Consider the following 16,807-nt stretch of genomic DNA (forward strand, 5'->3'; position numbering starts at 1 on the left):
TTGAACTTCTCTTGTAGAACAAACCTTATTCCAGCATCTATCAGAGACAATAAGGGTCTTAGAATCTAGAAAACAGGGTCCTGGGAGGGCACAGTTCCCACACGTCTATTTCTTCCACAGGACCTGCACGCTGCCTTGCTGTTGGAGATCTGTGCAGTAGGCAGTTGTGGAATTAAAAGCAACACCCCATGTCGCTGAATGTTCAGGGATCACAGGCCACTGCCGTTTCCCACCCACTCCCAGCCTCCGGGGAGTCTTAGCCTGTGGAGTCCCAGGAAGCACATGGAAAAGAGAGCCTTGGAACCAGAGTGGAGTGACAGCTAAGGGGTGCTGGAGGCCCCTGTGACCTTGACCATGCACAATGCCCAGACCAGCTCCGACTTTTTCCTCTCCTTCACATATTTAAATGGAGTCGATATTGGGGTCAGCTTCATGCACGGAGCCTTCTTCAGCTTTAGAGGTGATTCTGCAGCCTGCACAGGAGTGTGCACTTGACACAGTCTATTTTTAGCCTCCCAGAGACCGTGACCAACATCCCAAGCTGAGAGTGGGCACACCTGCTGCATTCTAATGAGGCAGCCCCACTCGCCTTTGCCAGCCCGCCCGGGATCTCACCGACGTGAAATCTGATGTTGCTAAACTGGGAAGTCTGCTTATTTCCCAAGGGCGGTAGCCTAGGTACACTGGGAAGATGGGACCATCCCACTGCCCCCAGCTCACTCCCCTGCAGCCCTGGACACAGAACAGTCTTGGGACTGCGCGGAGTGATTCCACGGAGGGGTTGAAATAACTTGGCTTTCTTGATCTTGCTGTGTCCTAGGATTCCCCTGTTTCTCTTGCTAGAAAGGAGACAGTAAGTCTGAGCTGACCCAGCTCACAGACAAGAAAATCGAGACATAGAACAAGGACATGATGTATGTAATAATCATAAGCACTTACTATGTGCCAGCCTGTTCTAAAGTCTTTCCATATATCAACTCCTCCAAACTTTTGGACAAATTTTTCAGGTAGGTTTTATTATGATTTGTGTTCTATAGAGGAGGAAAAGCTGAGGCACAGTGATGACAAATTATTTCCCAAGGTCACACAGCCAACAAGCGCTGGGTTTCAGAGTCAGGCACTGTGGCTCCAGGGTTTGTACTTTCAGCCAGTTCGCTATCTGCCTCCTAGTATCTATTTTTAATTTTACTAGAGCCAGGATAGGACCCAGGAGCCTGGATTCCCAGCCCTAGAGGACTGACTACTAGATAATACTCCTTTTTTTATTTTTCTAGTTCAGCCCTGCTTTGAGGCCTTTACTGTGCCTTGTACATCTGGGTCTCCTGCACTCCAGGCAGAGGAGGTCTCCTGGCATAACTGCTTCTGTTGCAGTGTTTGAGCTTCTGGGCTCCAATTGCTGTCTCTGGGCTCCAGAAGCTCTGTGGACCCCCATCTCCTTCTCCCTGCTCCGCCTAGCCTGTGGAGGACCAGGGAGCAGACAGTGATGGGCAGCAGCAGTGGGTGTAGAGCTGGGCTGGGCCTCAGGATTGGGGCACCCAGAAATAGCAATAATTGGTTGTGTGGAGGCCATCAGTGTGGGTATCCACAGTGCTGAATTCAGGGTAGAACTGTGAATCAGAAACTAGGGGGCAAGACAACAGGTAGGAGACACCAGAACCTAAGACATCTGCATTTTGGGGGCCGTATCCTCTTCTAGCTTGATGCTGCCTGTTGAGTGGAGAGAAGCCCATGGGTTCACGTTCCTGAGGATGCAGGTGGGACTTCGTTTCCTCTAACAAACTCTTACTATATGCCTGGCCCTTTTCTAAGCACTTTGAAATACAAACTTGTCTAATCCTCAGGACAACTCTAGGAGGCAGGGACCATTTTATTCCCATTTTAGAGAAAAGGAAACTGAGGCACTGAGAAGTTCATAAGTTTGCCCAAAGTTGTATAGCTGGGAAATGGCAGAGCTGGGATTCAGCTCCGGAATCTACACTCTCAGGCACCATGCTGTGCTATGCATCTTTCCCTTTATTGAATGTTTCCTATTTGCCTTCAAAGGAAGATACTATTTTCCCCATTTCACAGATACAGAAACTGAGGCCTGCATTGCTCAGGTCACCTAGCTAATAAGAGCTGAAGGTGGGTGAAATCTAGGTGTGTGTGGCTCCTCGGTGGACTGCCATCTCTGGACAGATCACAGCCATGAGCCCAACTGCTGGGAGCTGGAAGGGCTCACCTACCTCCCTTTCAGGAAGGGCTGCTGTGGCTGCTTGAGGCCGGGCTCAGGGAGGGGGAAGGAAAGAGGACCGCAAGCCTCCGAGGGCGGGACCCCGTTGTCTCTCCTAACACCCGACCCCCTTCTCTTCCCCTCAGGTGAACAGCCCCCCCTCCCAGCCCCCCCAGCCCGTCGTCCCTGCTAAGCCCGTGCAATGCGTCCATCATGTGTCCACTCAACCCAGCTGCCCAGGACGGGGCAAGATGTCCAAGCTGCTGAACCCAGAGGAGATGACCTCGAGAGATTATTACTTCGACTCCTATGCCCACTTTGGGATCCACGAGGTAAAGTGTCCCGAGTGGGTGGCTAATGGGGCGAGGCTGACTCTGCTGTTCTGTTGTTTTCAGAGGCAGCATAGTGTGTTCAACTCCTTACCATGGTAAAGGGAGTGCTCCCAGTGTTCCTGAGTCCTCTGACCCTTTCTCCAATCCGGGGGGCCCCTCTGGGAGGGGGCCAGGCCAGGCCTGGAGCAGGGGAGCAGGTGAAAGTGTGTGTCTGTATACTCCACAGCCAGAGAGAGCACACAAGGTGCTTACGGTCCATTTGTTTTACATTCCAGCTCCCGTGTCTCTCCCCAGCCATAAACCCAGCTCATCCATTGTGGGCTGGATAGCGCTGGTCTTTGGACCAGGAGCTCAAATGCTGCAGTCAGAGTCCTGAGGCAGCAAGGACCTTTCAGAGGTCATGATGTGCATTCTTTTGACCAATGAGCACCTCCGGGGGAAGAGCTGCAGGAAGCTTTCTTGGGAGCTTGGCCCAGGTCTGACACCCTGATTGATTGTCTGGAAATTCTTATGTCTAAATGCCAGTTTACCCCATAGCAGGGAAGACTAATGTTGACTATGGAACAGAACAGAACCTCCTAACAAGAGGCATCCTGGCCATAGTGGGGGCCTAATGGTGCCCCTACTGTATATCTTTCATTATAATCTCCAGCACTCTCTCCAGCCACCCCAAATAAACAAGTAGGATTTACTGAGTGCTTGCTAAGTGACAGGCACAGTTCTAAGCACATTATACGTATCATTTCATTTAAACTCTATGAAGAAAATATGTCCGTGATCCTCTTACAGCATAAGAAAAAATTGAAAAAGGAACAAAAGTTTGCTTGCTGTGCAAATCGGTTTTCAAAACAAGTCTTGAAGATCTTCCTTCCACGTACTCACTGCTGTAAACTCTTCCTATGTGGAAATGATGACCCTGCCATTGCCGGAAGGGTGTTTAGTAATAATAGCCAGCTCTTTTGTTTGTTTGTTTCGTTTTAGTGCTTACTACGTGCTGGTGTTGTTCCAAGCATTTTATATTATTGGTTCATTTATTCTTCAGGTCAATCCTGCAAGGTTGGTGTTATTGCTTGTCCCCATTCTCCAGATGATTTAGGCCCTTAAGAATCAAATCAACCCTCATTCATCCTTGACGGTTTTTTTGTGTGCGTGTGTGCGTGTGTGAAAGGCCACAAGCTAGTAGATGGCACAGCTAGCAATCAAACCTTCACCTTTTGTTCCTAACCATCATGCCATACAGCCCTTAAAACAAGTTTCCTTTCTTTCCATCTGGAAACTGTAAAAATTAAATTGCCATATTTGTTCCTGCTGGTTCTTCTGCAGCCCTACATGGAGGTAGAGGGTGGAAGGAGGCCCCCCAGTTACTTCTAGACTCAGGGGCTCAGCCTCATTTAATCCAGGGAGGCTCAAGGTTTGGGTCCCTGAGAACTGTTCACCATGTAAAACCATTAAGCCTGGACCTGCAGGGGAGGAGGACTGGGGCCTGTGTTCGGTCCAGAAGGTCCTGGCCCAGGAGGGCCTGGACAGCTGAGCCTGCAGCTTCTGGGAGATAAAATGCCATCTCAGGGCAGATGGATGAACTCTTACCCCTTCCTTGACCCTGCTCTCCACTGGGCTAGGGATTCCTGGAGCCCCATCCTTGGCCTGTGAGAGGCTCTTGGGGGCAAAAGAGACTCTGCGAAGGCCCCTTCCTCAAGACCTTGTCCCTAATTAAAAGTCATGTTCTCCATGTGACAAGTTCTAACAGGCCTGTGGCTCTGGGTACCCATTTCAGGACAGATTCTTGGGAAAAGAGAGCAGTTCCAGGGACCCCAAAATGTCTCCTCTTGGGCCTGCCCAGAACTCCCCCATTAGAAACCAAACAACCATGAGGTGCACCTCAAGCTGGGTCTGCAGTCTCCCCTCCCCACTCGGAGCCTCCGTGATCGGCTTCTTGGACACCTCCCTCTGAGTTGCTAGGTTCCTGCTGAGCCACACCTTTGGCGTTTAGAGTGTGCTCCACTAGGCTATTACCGATCTCTATAATTCCTTTGGGACTTGGTGTCCCCAGCCTGTTACCTACAGCTTGGCACATTGTCTGGAGAGCAAAGGCTTGTTGACATGGCTGCTAATCCAGTCATTCAGGCGATGCCTGGTCAGCACCATGACCCAGCACCCAGGGGAGAGGACATCAAGTTTCACCAAATAAATACTAGACCAGTTTCCCTCAATTGTGTGTACTTATGGAAAAGTCAAGCTTGTGCATACGTATATATAAACATAGTGCGGGCTGAGCAGGGGACTTAGAGTATAAGACCTGTGAGTCATAGATCACATTCCTGTCCTGGGAGAGTGCTTAGCAGCCTTCCCATTGGGAAATACTTCTGGACATCTAGCTTAAATCCCTCCTGCTGCTGCTATAGACCATCTCATAGGTCCTTTAATGCAGGAACAGCTAGGTAACCTTCCTTCCCCCCGAGGTCTCCTTTTACCCTGTTTTCAGTTTCCCAGATCATCTGCATGAAAGGAGGTGGGGGGCACGTGGAAGAACTTTTAACACCATTCTTCGCAGAGAGAAGGCCTACCCAGTTCTTGTTATCAAGCACCAGGGATCTCTGTTCCATGCCAGATGGATCGTGGTGATGCCCTTGCCTCCTTGGTCTGGGCAAGACCCATATTTCTGCATCCATCTGGAGCCACGCTGGCCATTTGGCAGTCTTCTCCCCATCATTAACAAGACCCTCACACGGTGGGGAGCAGCCCCACCGGCCTGCTGATTAATAGCCATCAGTGAGTGTTGAGGAAACGTGGTGCGGATAGACTGGGTTTGATTGATCTGTAAATACAAACAAGAAATGCTGAGTACAGGGGACTATTGGGGCTGGAGAGCACAGCAGGGGGTGACTCTGGACACTTCTGTTCTCATCCCATGCTCCATTCAGAGACAACTCTATCCCCAGCCTCCAGAGGGCAGGGGCTAGCGAGAGGAAGACCCTAGCCTTCCAATTTAGGCCTCTCTGGGAAACATGGAATCTTGAACAGGAGCTGAAGTGGAAGATGTGTGCTTCCTGAGGCCGCCACCTAGAGAGGAGGTGGTAGGCTCCATGACCTCCCAGACCCCAGCTCTGAAATCTCAGCGTCTCTAACAGTCGGCACTGGGCTTGGTGCCTCAGCCACGAGAAGAATCTTTGCCAATGCGGCTGTCCCTCCAGCACCCTGAGCTCTGGGTGCCAATCCCACTCCCGGCCAGCTCCCTTCCTTTGACACTCTCGCTGCAGGTTCTGTTGAAACAGACTCTTTGGGGCCTTATAGTCCAACAATTTGTCAATGGGCAGTCATATATTTAATAGGCAGGAAAGCCAGGACACAAGTGAATCCACAGCTAGAGGCTGGGAACTGTTTTCCACAGGGTGGCATGTTCCTTCCTGAAATGTCTTGGGAGTTCTTTGGGCTCTTCTCCCAGGAAGGGGATAGAGGACCTCTTCTTTTGGCAAGTCAGGTAGGGGAAGCCTTGCTAAGTCACAACTTCTGTTCTCCCAGAACTTGTACCTTCCAACCTAACTCCTGGGGCCTGGGACCTCCAGGAAAGGAGACTTGGCCAAAAAAGCGACAAAGGCAATGAACTAAAGGGTGACCACTGGGGGGTCTCCCCATTAGCAAACATACTCTCTGTTAGGTTTTGAAGGGAAGGCAAGGGTTAAAGAAAGACACGCCCACAGAAAGAGTGCAGCTCGACAGCAAATACAGGCTTCATGTCCAGCATAAAACCTACAGAAGTGGGGGACCGCCTAATGCCAGAGCCCCCTGCTACTTACAGGCTGGGGGTACTTATAGGTATGGGCGGGAGGGGTCTGGGCAGTGTGGCTCGCTGCCTGGCAGGATATTAAGATGTTCCCGTGATGAGGCGGTTCTGGCCCTTGTTCCGGCAGGATGTCGTCATGGTGTTCCTTGGACTTTTGTCCCCAGCAAGATACCATACGGATGTTTCTTTAGTTGGGCCTTTGTTTGCCTTGCGGTCAAGTGGTTAGGCAGGATGTCTCTCATGGCCTGAACCCCCGTGAAATGCTTCACTTTGACCAAGGTCTGCACAATAGCTGGGAGCTTACAAAATGGTGCAGTTTGGACGAACAGGCTCTCCGGGGGTACTCAGCCAATCCACTTCCATCTACTAAAGGCACTTCAGACTTTTAACTGTGGTTATGATTGAAACATTTCTGCAGCCTTTGTCGTTATTTTGCCTCCATTCCCTGCTCATCTCAGCTATTTCCTTGCATGGATGAAGGAAAGGGTTGTAGTTATCACTAAGAGCCAGAACTAGCATTTTCGTGAAACTTACTACATTTGTGTAATCATCATAACAAACCCTAGGAAGTAGGTGATGTTATTACCAGTTTCCAGATGAGGGAACTGAGGCACAGACAGCTGAAAGCTGGTCTGGGTCAGAGAGCTCACAAACAGTGGAGGTATGATCTGAATGCGGGAATTTGGGATTTGAATGCTCTAGAGTCTGTGTACTTAACCACTGTGCTGTATGGTTTTCCGGCTTACTGAGCACCTGCTATGCGCCATGCCCCATGCCTGGTTCTAGATATACCATCTGTCTTGTTGTCTTTGGTCCGAGATCTCCTAAAGCGAAAGGCTTCAGCTCACCTTCAAAGTATTTAAAGCCAGAATTGAACTGAATCCAACCAAACCCCCACCTTATTCAACTTCTAATAAGATCAAAGATATCAGCCCTGGGGCAGCACAGGAAGTGATGGCTGGGCTTCAGAATGGTTCTTGCCTCCTTTTCACCTTCTGTATCTCACCTGAATCTCCTCTGTGACTCACCCTAACTGGAAACATAACAGAAAGAGAAGTTGGGAAATGTAGCACCACCTGGCTGAGGTGACACGTTACAAAGCCTCCCAACGTGGTACCCAGAACTCCAGAAAACATGGAGCCAAACCTACAGAACTAAAGGAAGAAAAAGGGAAATCTCCAGTCATAGTTAAATATTTTTAACACTTCTGTCTTGGTAAGTGATCACACAAATGCACAAAAAAAATCGGTAAGAATGTAGAAAATTTGAATAATACAATCAAACAACATGAGCTAATTGACATTTTTAGAACATTTCATCCCCAAACTACAGAAGACATGTTATTTTCAAGTGCACGTGGGAACATTCACTAAGATAGATCCTCTGCTGGGTCACAAAACAAAGATTAAAGTCATGCAGAGTATGTTTTTTGATCACAATGAATTGAATTAGAAACTGAGAACAATAAACTATCCAGAAAATCTCCAAATAATTGGAAAGTAGGCAGCACTCTGCTAAATAGCCCATGGGTCACAGAAGAAGTCACAGAAGGAAAGAGAGACTATCCCAAACTAAATGATAGTGAAAATACAACATATTAAAATTTGGAGACGGAAATTCAAGCAATATTTAGAGGGAAATTTACAGCTTCAAATGCTTATGGGGAAAAAAAGTCATAAAATCAATGACCAAAACTTCTACCTTATGAAGCTAGAGAAAGAACAAATAAAACTCAAGTAAGTTGAAGAAAGGAAATAATTAAGATGAAAGCAGAAGTCAATGAAATAGAAACCAAGCAGTGGAGAAAACCAACAAAGCCAAAAGTTGCCTTTTGAAAAGGCTAATTAAATTGATAATATCTAGTTAGATTAATCAAGAAAAAAAGAGAAAACACAAATTAAAATAACATAAATGGAGGCAAGGACCTCCTGACGATCACACAGATACTCAACAGGCAATGGGAGAATATTATGACAATGTCGTGCTGATAAATTTGACATTTTACATAAAATGGATACATGCCTTGAAAAAATACCTTGTCAAAACTGACATAAAATGCATTGAAAGCTAAAATAACCCTTTCCTAATTAGAGAAATTGAATTCATATGAAACTTCCTATAAGAGAACTCCAGGCATATATGGTTTTACTGGTGAATTATAATAAACATTTAAAGAAGAACTATACCTAACACAAACTTTTGCAGAAAATATATGAGCAGAGAACACTTCCTAACTTATGTAATGAGCCCAGTATAACTTTGATTACCGAAGAAAAGGTAAGACAAAGTTACAGATCAATGTTTCTCATAATTATGAATATGCAACAAAATATTAGCAAAAAACACCCAGCAATATTTTAAAAGGGTAATACATCATGACAAAGTGTTCATTTAACATTAAAAACCAATCTGTGAAGTTCACCCCATTAACAAAATAAAGGAGAAAAGTCATATACCATCTCAATAAATGAAAAAGCATGTGACAAAATTAAATACCAATTCATGATAAAATCTCTCACCAAGTTAAAAATGGAAGGGAACTTCTTCAGCCTGATAAAAGACATTTATAGAAAGCCTAAATTATACTTAATGGATATATTATTGGAACAAAGGAAGGATGTCTGTCCTCTGTAATTCTATTCAACATTTTACTGGCAGTCTTTGCCAGGGCAATAAAGCAAGAGGAAAGAACCAAAAAATAAAAGGCATACAGATAGGAAAAAAGAAGTAAAATTGTCTTTATTCACAAGCGACAGGATTTTTCACACAGAAAAATAAAGAAATCTAAAAAAAAAACCCTACTGGAATTAATATGTGAAGAGAGAAAGGCTGCAAAATACAAGGTCATGTATACACCAACCCATTGCAAAATGAAAAATTTTAAACACCATATACAGTATCACAAAATAAAATAGTTGAATGGGGCCAGGCATGGTGGCTCACATCTGTAACCGCAGCACCTTGGGAGGCCAAGGTGGGCAGATTACTTGAGCCCCGGCATTCAAGACCATCCTGGGCAACATGGTAGAACACCATCTCTACCCCCAAAATACAAAAATTAGCCAGTCTCATAACCCAGCCTCAAAATAAATAAAAAGATAAATTTTTTTGAAAAACTAAATAAAATAGTTGAATGGAAATGTAAGACCTTTATATAAAAATCTATACAACATTCCAGAGATAAATGAAAGATCTACATAAATGGAGAGCTGCAAAGTGTTCTTGGATTATAAAACTCAAAATTGCTAAAATGTCAGTTCTCCCCAAATTGATCTATAGATTTAATACAAGTCTGATAGATGCCAGGAGCCTATTCTGTATGAATTAATAAGTTGATTCTAAAATTTATATAGAAATGCAAAGGGCCTAGAAAAATCAAAATAATCTTGTTAAAGAAGTACGTTGGCAGACTCTCACTACGTTATTTCAAAGTTAATATAAAGGTGCAGCAGTCAAGTCAGTGTTGACTTTGTTTATCAGTGGAATAGATCAGAGAGGCCACACATGTAGAGTCAATTGATTTTTGGTAAAGGTGACAAGGTGATTAATGGAGGAAATGTTTCTTGGACCATTTATTTGCAAGAAAAAATGAGCTCACACCCCTAACTTACACTATACACAAAAATTAATTTGACATGTAAAAGCCACAGCCATAAAGACTCTGGTAAAAAACAAAGGAGAGTGTCTTTGTGACTTGGGGCAGACAAAGATCAGACAGGGCACAAAAAGCACCTATCATAAGTGAAAAAAATGGAAAAACTGGTCTTTATCAAAATTAAAAACTGCTTTAAAAAAAGAAAAAAGAAAATGAAAAGGCAAATCACAGATTGGGAGAAGACATTCACAATATATATGCAGTATATCTGATGAAGGACTAGCTTCCAGAATGTATAAACTGCAATTCAGTAAGAACAAGACAAACAGTTCAAGACAAAAATGAACAGAGGACTTGAATAGGCACTTCACAAAAGATGATACATGTGAATAGCCAATAAGCACATGAAAAAAAAGATCTACTTCAGTAACCATCAGGGAAATACAATTAAAACTGCAATGAGGCATCAAATCAGTTTACATCCACTAGGATGGCTAAATTAAAAGATCAGTAATGCTAAGGTGTCTGGCTGTGAAGCACCTTGAACTCTCACATTGCTGGTTGGAGTGTAAAATGGTACAACTAGTCTGGAAAACTCTTTGGCAATTTCTTATGAAGTTGAACATGTACCTACCCTAAGACCCAGGAAACTTACTTCTAGGTATCTACCCAAGGGAAATGAAAACATATCCTTTGCTATTATGAATAAATAGCAAAAAACTGGAAAGAATCCTAATATCCCACAAACAAGTGAATGGATAAATACATTGTGGTATAGTCATAGAAGGGAATACCATACAACAACAACAACAAAAGAACAAACCTCGGATCTGTGTAATAACATACATGAATCTCAAAAACTTTATGTTGCACAATTTATATAAAGTTCTAAAATAGGCAGAAGGAAGCTTTGGTGATAGAAATCAGATCATTTGTCATCTTGGGAGAGGCTGAAGATTGACTACAAAAGGGCATGAAGGACTTTCTGGGGTGATAGAAATGTTCTAGATTTTGGTTATGGTGGTGCTTACACAGGTATACATTTGTCAAAGCCCTTTTACTGAACCAGAAGCTTAAAACCTGGGCTTTTTGTTGCATGCAAATTATACCTTAATAGTGTTGATTTCTAAAAAAAAATTCACCCCAATACTTTTGATGATGAATTAGGTAAAAGCGTTTGCTAATACCTTGAATGGCCAAAGATCCCTACCTCACTACCATACACAGAATTAACATGTTCTCCTTGGGTCAGAGTCCACTGTAACAAGTAATCTTGTTTCTCTCTCACTGCAAAGCCAATATGCTGGACAGAGAAACACATTTTCTAGTCTTTTTTTTTTTTTAAAAAAAAGGCAAACAAAACAAAATATACACTCACAAAAACCTCTTTGAATGACGTGTTCAATGACAATTCTCTCACCATGACAGAAAGTTCTGCTTCGTGTTTAACTTAAATCTCTTATGCTATGTTGTACTGATCTTTCCTTTGGTCCTTTAGTAAATCAGAGCTTTCCCAGGTCTGAACATGAGTTTCTCTTCTGATGGTGAATAGCTATCTTTCTGAGTAGAGTTTTAAGGCAGGGGAAGTTTGGAATGATGCTGTTAGCACATGGCCCAGCTACCCCAGTTTTGTCCTCTGTGGCTCTGCCTGATGATATTATCGGGTCTCCTGAAGGGTCACCTGGGGTGGTCCAGGGGCTCATAGCCATGGTGTACACCCAGGTGTCTTGAATTCACTGACATTTCCTTTCTTTTCCCTCCATCACAGGAAATGCTGAAGGATGAGGTGCGGACTCTCACTTACCGGAACTCCATGTACCACAACAAGCACGTGTTCAAGGACAAAGTGGTACTGGATGTGGGGAGTGGTACTGGGATCCTTTCCATGTTCGCTGCCAAGGCAGGGGCCAAGAAGGTGTTTGGGGTGAGCACGCCGCTTCCTCCTGCATGCTGGCTTCCACAGAGCCAGCCTCTTGCCCTCTGCCTCCACCCGCCCTTCTAGAAGTACAAAATTTGGTCCATCTCTTTTGCTGGGGTCACACCTTCGAGGAGTAGAAGAAATCAGGTGTGACTCTCAGGAAGGGGAGCAGGCTGCCTGTCCCCTGTGCATGGCTCCTGGATCCTTACAACCACTGACATTTGCGGAGGAACTGTGGCTTTCCTGAGACCATTCCAATGTCATCATGACCTTTCAGTGCTTAGCCCCAAGGTCAGCTTCAGAGGCAGTGCAGGTGGTTACTCGGGGGAGCTCTGGTTTGAATCTCTGCATTTCCATTCACTAGGCATGTGACCTTGGACTATTCACTTCCCTGCACCTCACTTTTTCTCCATCTATAAAATGAGCTTAATAGCAGTCCCTTGCCCATAGGGTGATTGTGAGGATTAAATGAGTATAATACATATGTAAAGTGCTTAAAACAGTGCCCAGCATATGGCAAATGCTCGGCGTCTATTATTATAGTTGAGATGGGGCCCTAGAGATAATGGGAACATCTCCTTCTTGTTTTCTTTAGAGGGCAAGTCGGTCAACTTAAATTCTGTTGCTTTGGCTGTGGCAGCGTTTCCAGGCTAGATGTGGAGGCTGACCCTCTGGGAAGCCTCCTACCTATCCCCTGGCTCTCCCAAGGCAGCTTTGCCCAGCCTGATGACAGAGGGCCTGGGAAGGTCCAGAGCTGGAAAGAAACTAAAAAGAAGAGCTGCGAGATGCTGGCTGATATTTGAAAAATGCAGTGGGCCCAGGGCTGGAGCACAAGCATTCATCTTGGTCAAAATGAAAGGCAAACCACAATGAGATTCCCAGTCTGCATGTGAGCCGGCCCATTTGCAGAGGCCTCAGCGACCTGAGCAGCATTCAGTGGGTCTTTGCTCCCATGCATTTGGTTGGGCCATCCCATAGCCAGCCCTGGGGACCCCCCCCCGCCCACTGACTCCCAGGTTGACTAGATCCCCCTAGATCCTCCTGGCCACCTGCTGCCTCCAGAGGTCTGCTCCTAAGTCACCCAGCAGGGCAGCATTCCTCCTCCAAGCCTGACTTGGAAAACCCTTGGGCCATGGCTGCCGAGGGTCTTCTGGAAGCTTGGGCTGCCCTCAAGCTGCCTCAGGTGCAGCTTTGACCAGGAAAAGCTGTGACGTTCTCAGCCGAGGCACTTGCTGAGGGCAGGGGCCCATCCGGAGGCCCAAGGGCAGGTCATGTCATCATCACTGGTATAACTGCTGGTTCTCCAGGATGGAGACCTCAGGCAAGGGTCTTAGTGAGGTCACAGGGCATCAGAGCTGGACTTGAGTCCTCTGGTGACCCCCACGTGCTTTCTTTCCCAGCACCGAGGCCCCGTCTCAGTGCCGGCCTTGGTGGGGGACAGGGCTGAGCATGGTGTCCCTGGCGCCTGAGTCATCCGGGGGCTCCAGCCAAGGAGCTGTCAGGAGGAGGCTCCCACTTGGCGCCTTCCAGCTGCGGTGACTTGGCGCGATCTGTCTGCCTCCCGCCCTTTTCTCTAACAGCTCTTTTATAAATGGCTCCACCACATTTAGCTGGGCTCCTTTCCGGATGGCTCATTTCACAGTTTCTCCTGTTCCAGACCCCCTTCCACCCACTGCTGTCCTCCAGTGGGGAGACGAGATGGCGGGAGAGAGAGACAGAGAGAGAGGGAGGGAGGAAGACCATCGTCCCAGAGTGGAGACAGGCACAGAGAAAGAGACAGATGTGACAAGAGCAATGGAGAGGAGACAGAGACAGAGAAAGGTGCAGAGAAAAGCTAGAGAAATGGGAGAGGGGCCTGGAAAAGCAGAAAGAAGACAAAGTAGAAAGCACAAAAGAAAAGAATCGGCAGAGGCTGGTGGATCACCTGAGGTCAGGAGTTCAAGACCAGCCTGGCCAACATGGCGAAACCCTGTCTCTACTAAAAATACAAAAATTAGCCGGGCATGGTGGCGGGTGCCTGTAATTCCAGCTACTTGGAGACTGAGGCTGGAGAATCGCTTGAACCCGGGAGGCGGAGGTTGCAGTGAGTCCAGATCGCGCCATTGCACTCCAGCCTGGGCGACAAAGTGAGATTTTGTCTCAAAAAATAAGAATCAGAAAAGTGAAGACAGGTGGTAAAGAGAGAAGAGGGAAGAAATGGAAGAGGAGAAGATGGAAGAAAGGAAAATGAGGAGGGAAGGACACCGCCCCGCACTCTGAGTGTTGAGCAAGCTTCGGCTGAGTTTACCCTCACACACTCACGTGCATTGGGGGCTTCGACTTCTCTCGGGAGGACACTGAGGCGCAGTTAGGAAGGGCAGTGGCCAGGCATAAATCCAGGCCTGGCTCCGGGTCGCATGCTCCTCATCACTCAACATGGTCGCCTCTTGCAGATCAGATGATGACATGGCCAGAGGGGGAGAAGAAGAGGAGGGAATCACACCCCACAGACAGTGCAGCCTGAAGGCCAGGGACCTGGCAGCCCAGGAAAGGGCTGGTTCTCCTGGGACCTGCACCCTGGCTGGAGTCGGCCTCCTTGGATGCAGCTCTAACCAAGTGACCCCTTCTGACCCCGTAGGTGCCCTCACCCTTCCTCAAGGCGTGGCCAGAGGCGTCAGAAACTCCCTCAGTGCCCCTTTGCGAGTACTTCTCAAGGGAATGGTCCCTGCCCGAGGCCTGGGGGTAGTCTGAGGGGCCCCCAAGTGTGGAGGTGAGTAGAGCCCAGGGCCTTAGCACAGGCCAGCCTCTGTAAGAGAGCCGGCTCCGGAGGTGAGGACGGCTCTTGGCAGCTGCCCCTCCATGTCCAGAACCCCTGGCAGTGTGCCTGAGACGCTAACCCTGGGCTGGAGCTTGGCTTCCAACCATTCCCATGAGGGCCTGCTCTCAGGGAAGGTCCACTCATCTCTCAAATACCTTGGCCCTTTGCTTAGGAGGTCTGGAGAGCCTGGAAAGACGTCTGAATTAAAAGGAATAATTTCTTTCAAAGATGAAGCGGCGAGAGCTAACGTGGGGGGTGGGAGGGGAAGAGAAAGATCTTAAACCAGCCCTGAGGTCTTGACCTGGCTTTTTCCAGATGGTCCCATCCTGGCACGCGGCTCGTTTACCCTGGAAGGGCTGGGCTGCGGTGGGGAGGATCATGTCGAGGGAGGCTCGCAACTCTGGCTTGGATCTGCCTTCCCGCGTCCCCCACGGTGGGGAGGACGTACTGCCTCCTGCCATTCTCTGCTGGCCAGGAGCATGAGGTCTGCCAGCCCCTTTTGAGTCTCCAGCACAGAGATCAATCCCTCCATCACGGGTGGTGACTAGACATCAGTCTTTTCGCAAAGGCAGCCCAATTTCGTGGAAGGCCGCTGGCCTTGAGGTGGGGGGGCTGGGTTTCGGTTTTCAGTCTGCCACAAAGTTGTGATGCAGCCGTGGGCAAGTCACCACCCCTGTCTGGGCCTCAGCGTCTCTATCCATTGAATCGGTGTGGGTCTTGCTGTGATTTTTTTTGACGCCTTGCTCCTTTGTCCTATGCCCTTTCCAGATCGAATGCTCCAGTATTTCTGACTACTCAGAGAAGATCATTAAGGCCAACCACTTGGACAACAGTAAGACATACCTCTGAGTGTTTTCTCCTGGATGGAGGGGACGGGAAGCTCACACTTTCTTGTTGGGATGGCATAGCGGGAGGAGCGCAGAGCACTTGGACTTGGGGAGGTGGTGCACCCAGCTGAGGCCCCCGCCAGCAAGACTGCGGCCATGGGTACTGATGTTCCCCCCGACACCAGGCCAGCTGAGGATCACAGCCACCCCCTCTCCGCTTTTGGCAAGCCCTGCTTGTAGCTAAATCCCGAGTTGCCAGACCCTTTGCTTGTCCCCAGCTGTGGGCAACCTATTGCCTTCTGCAAAATGGCCACATTCCTCCTCCTCCTCCTCTTCCTCCTCTTCCCTCCCTCTCCATGAGCCCCGACCCAATGTTTCCCCACCACCTGCCCAGGGGCATCATGGCAGACCCCAGGCTGTGGTCCTCCACTGCCCACGAGCCCTGTCACTGCTGGGCTGTTTTGGGAATGAGGCTGCTTTTGGGAGTGGGCCCTTCTTCAGCTGGAGTCTGATTATAGAGAGGGGCGTCCCTTCCCTTCCTCCCCTCTCACCTTTCCCATGGACAGCGACATTTCCCAGTCCCTCCTCTCTGGAGCCCATCTTGGAAACAGACCCGCAAGGGTCCCTGATCAGGAGACGTCCTTGGAGCTTGCATCTGACAGCAGGATTAGATGCAGTCCCGAGCCCTGTGCTCAGTGCTGGGGAGAACATCAGAAAGGCAGACAGGGCACTAGCCCCCTGTAGGCATCCTGTCCTACTGCGCCGGGGCTGCAGTGAGGCCGAGAGAGGAACTGGTAGACAGGAAGTTGCAATACAGACAGGGAGGTGAGCCACAGTGAGACAGAGGCCGCCTGCAGCAGAGGGCTGCAAAGGGTCAGCTCCAAAAGGCAGAGCTCACTGCAGAGTTCCAAAAGGTGGGAAGGCTGGAGCTGGGAGGGAAGGACGTTCCCTTGAGGGGTCTGGGGCAGGGGGAAAAAGAGGCCAGGTTGGGAAGGAATCTGATTTCAGTGTCCCTCCTGAGGGAGCCTGGGCAGGGAGTTCTGGCAGGTGGGCTTTGTCAAGTCCGAGGCACCGAGGAGTCAGCTCAGCCTCCCCTCTCTGTGCTGTGCGACCCTTTGCTCTATGGATGCAGCCCTTGCCATGCTCCCTGCTGACCTGCCAGAATTCCTCTGCCCTCCTAGAGGGTGCCTGCTGCCCTGTCACCCCTCTGGGTCTGACCTGAGTCCCCAGGCCCAGGTGGTACCTGCCTGCACACAACACTACAAACCTGTGTCCATGTGGCTTCAGCCCTGCCACCTGTCCTCTCTGGTGCTTGACCTACTTGCTGCAGACTCTTTGCAAGGGC

General features: G+C 48.2%; 1 protein-coding gene across 7 annotated transcripts in view; it reads left to right on the forward strand.

The window, feature by feature from the left end:
• The window catches only part of PRMT8 (protein arginine methyltransferase 8), a 212,625-nt gene that overhangs the window by 156,899 nt on the left and 38,919 nt on the right, over nucleotides 1–16,807 (forward strand). For 4 of the 7 annotated variants that reach the window (NM_001256536.1, NM_019854.5, XM_047429157.1 and 1 more), the window contains exons 2-4: nucleotides 2,359–2,544; nucleotides 11,689–11,844; nucleotides 15,404–15,467. In NM_001256536.1, coding sequence (NP_001243465.1) covers nucleotides 2,359–2,544; nucleotides 11,689–11,844; nucleotides 15,404–15,467 — 406 coding nt within the window. The other 3 variants (XM_017019644.2, XM_017019645.1, XM_047429159.1) reach the window with 3 other exon arrangements.

The sequence above is a fragment of the Homo sapiens genome, chromosome 12, assembly GCF_000001405.40.
Source record: "Homo sapiens chromosome 12, GRCh38.p14 Primary Assembly".
In the NCBI taxonomy this organism is placed as follows: Eukaryota; Metazoa; Chordata; class Mammalia; order Primates; family Hominidae; genus Homo; species Homo sapiens.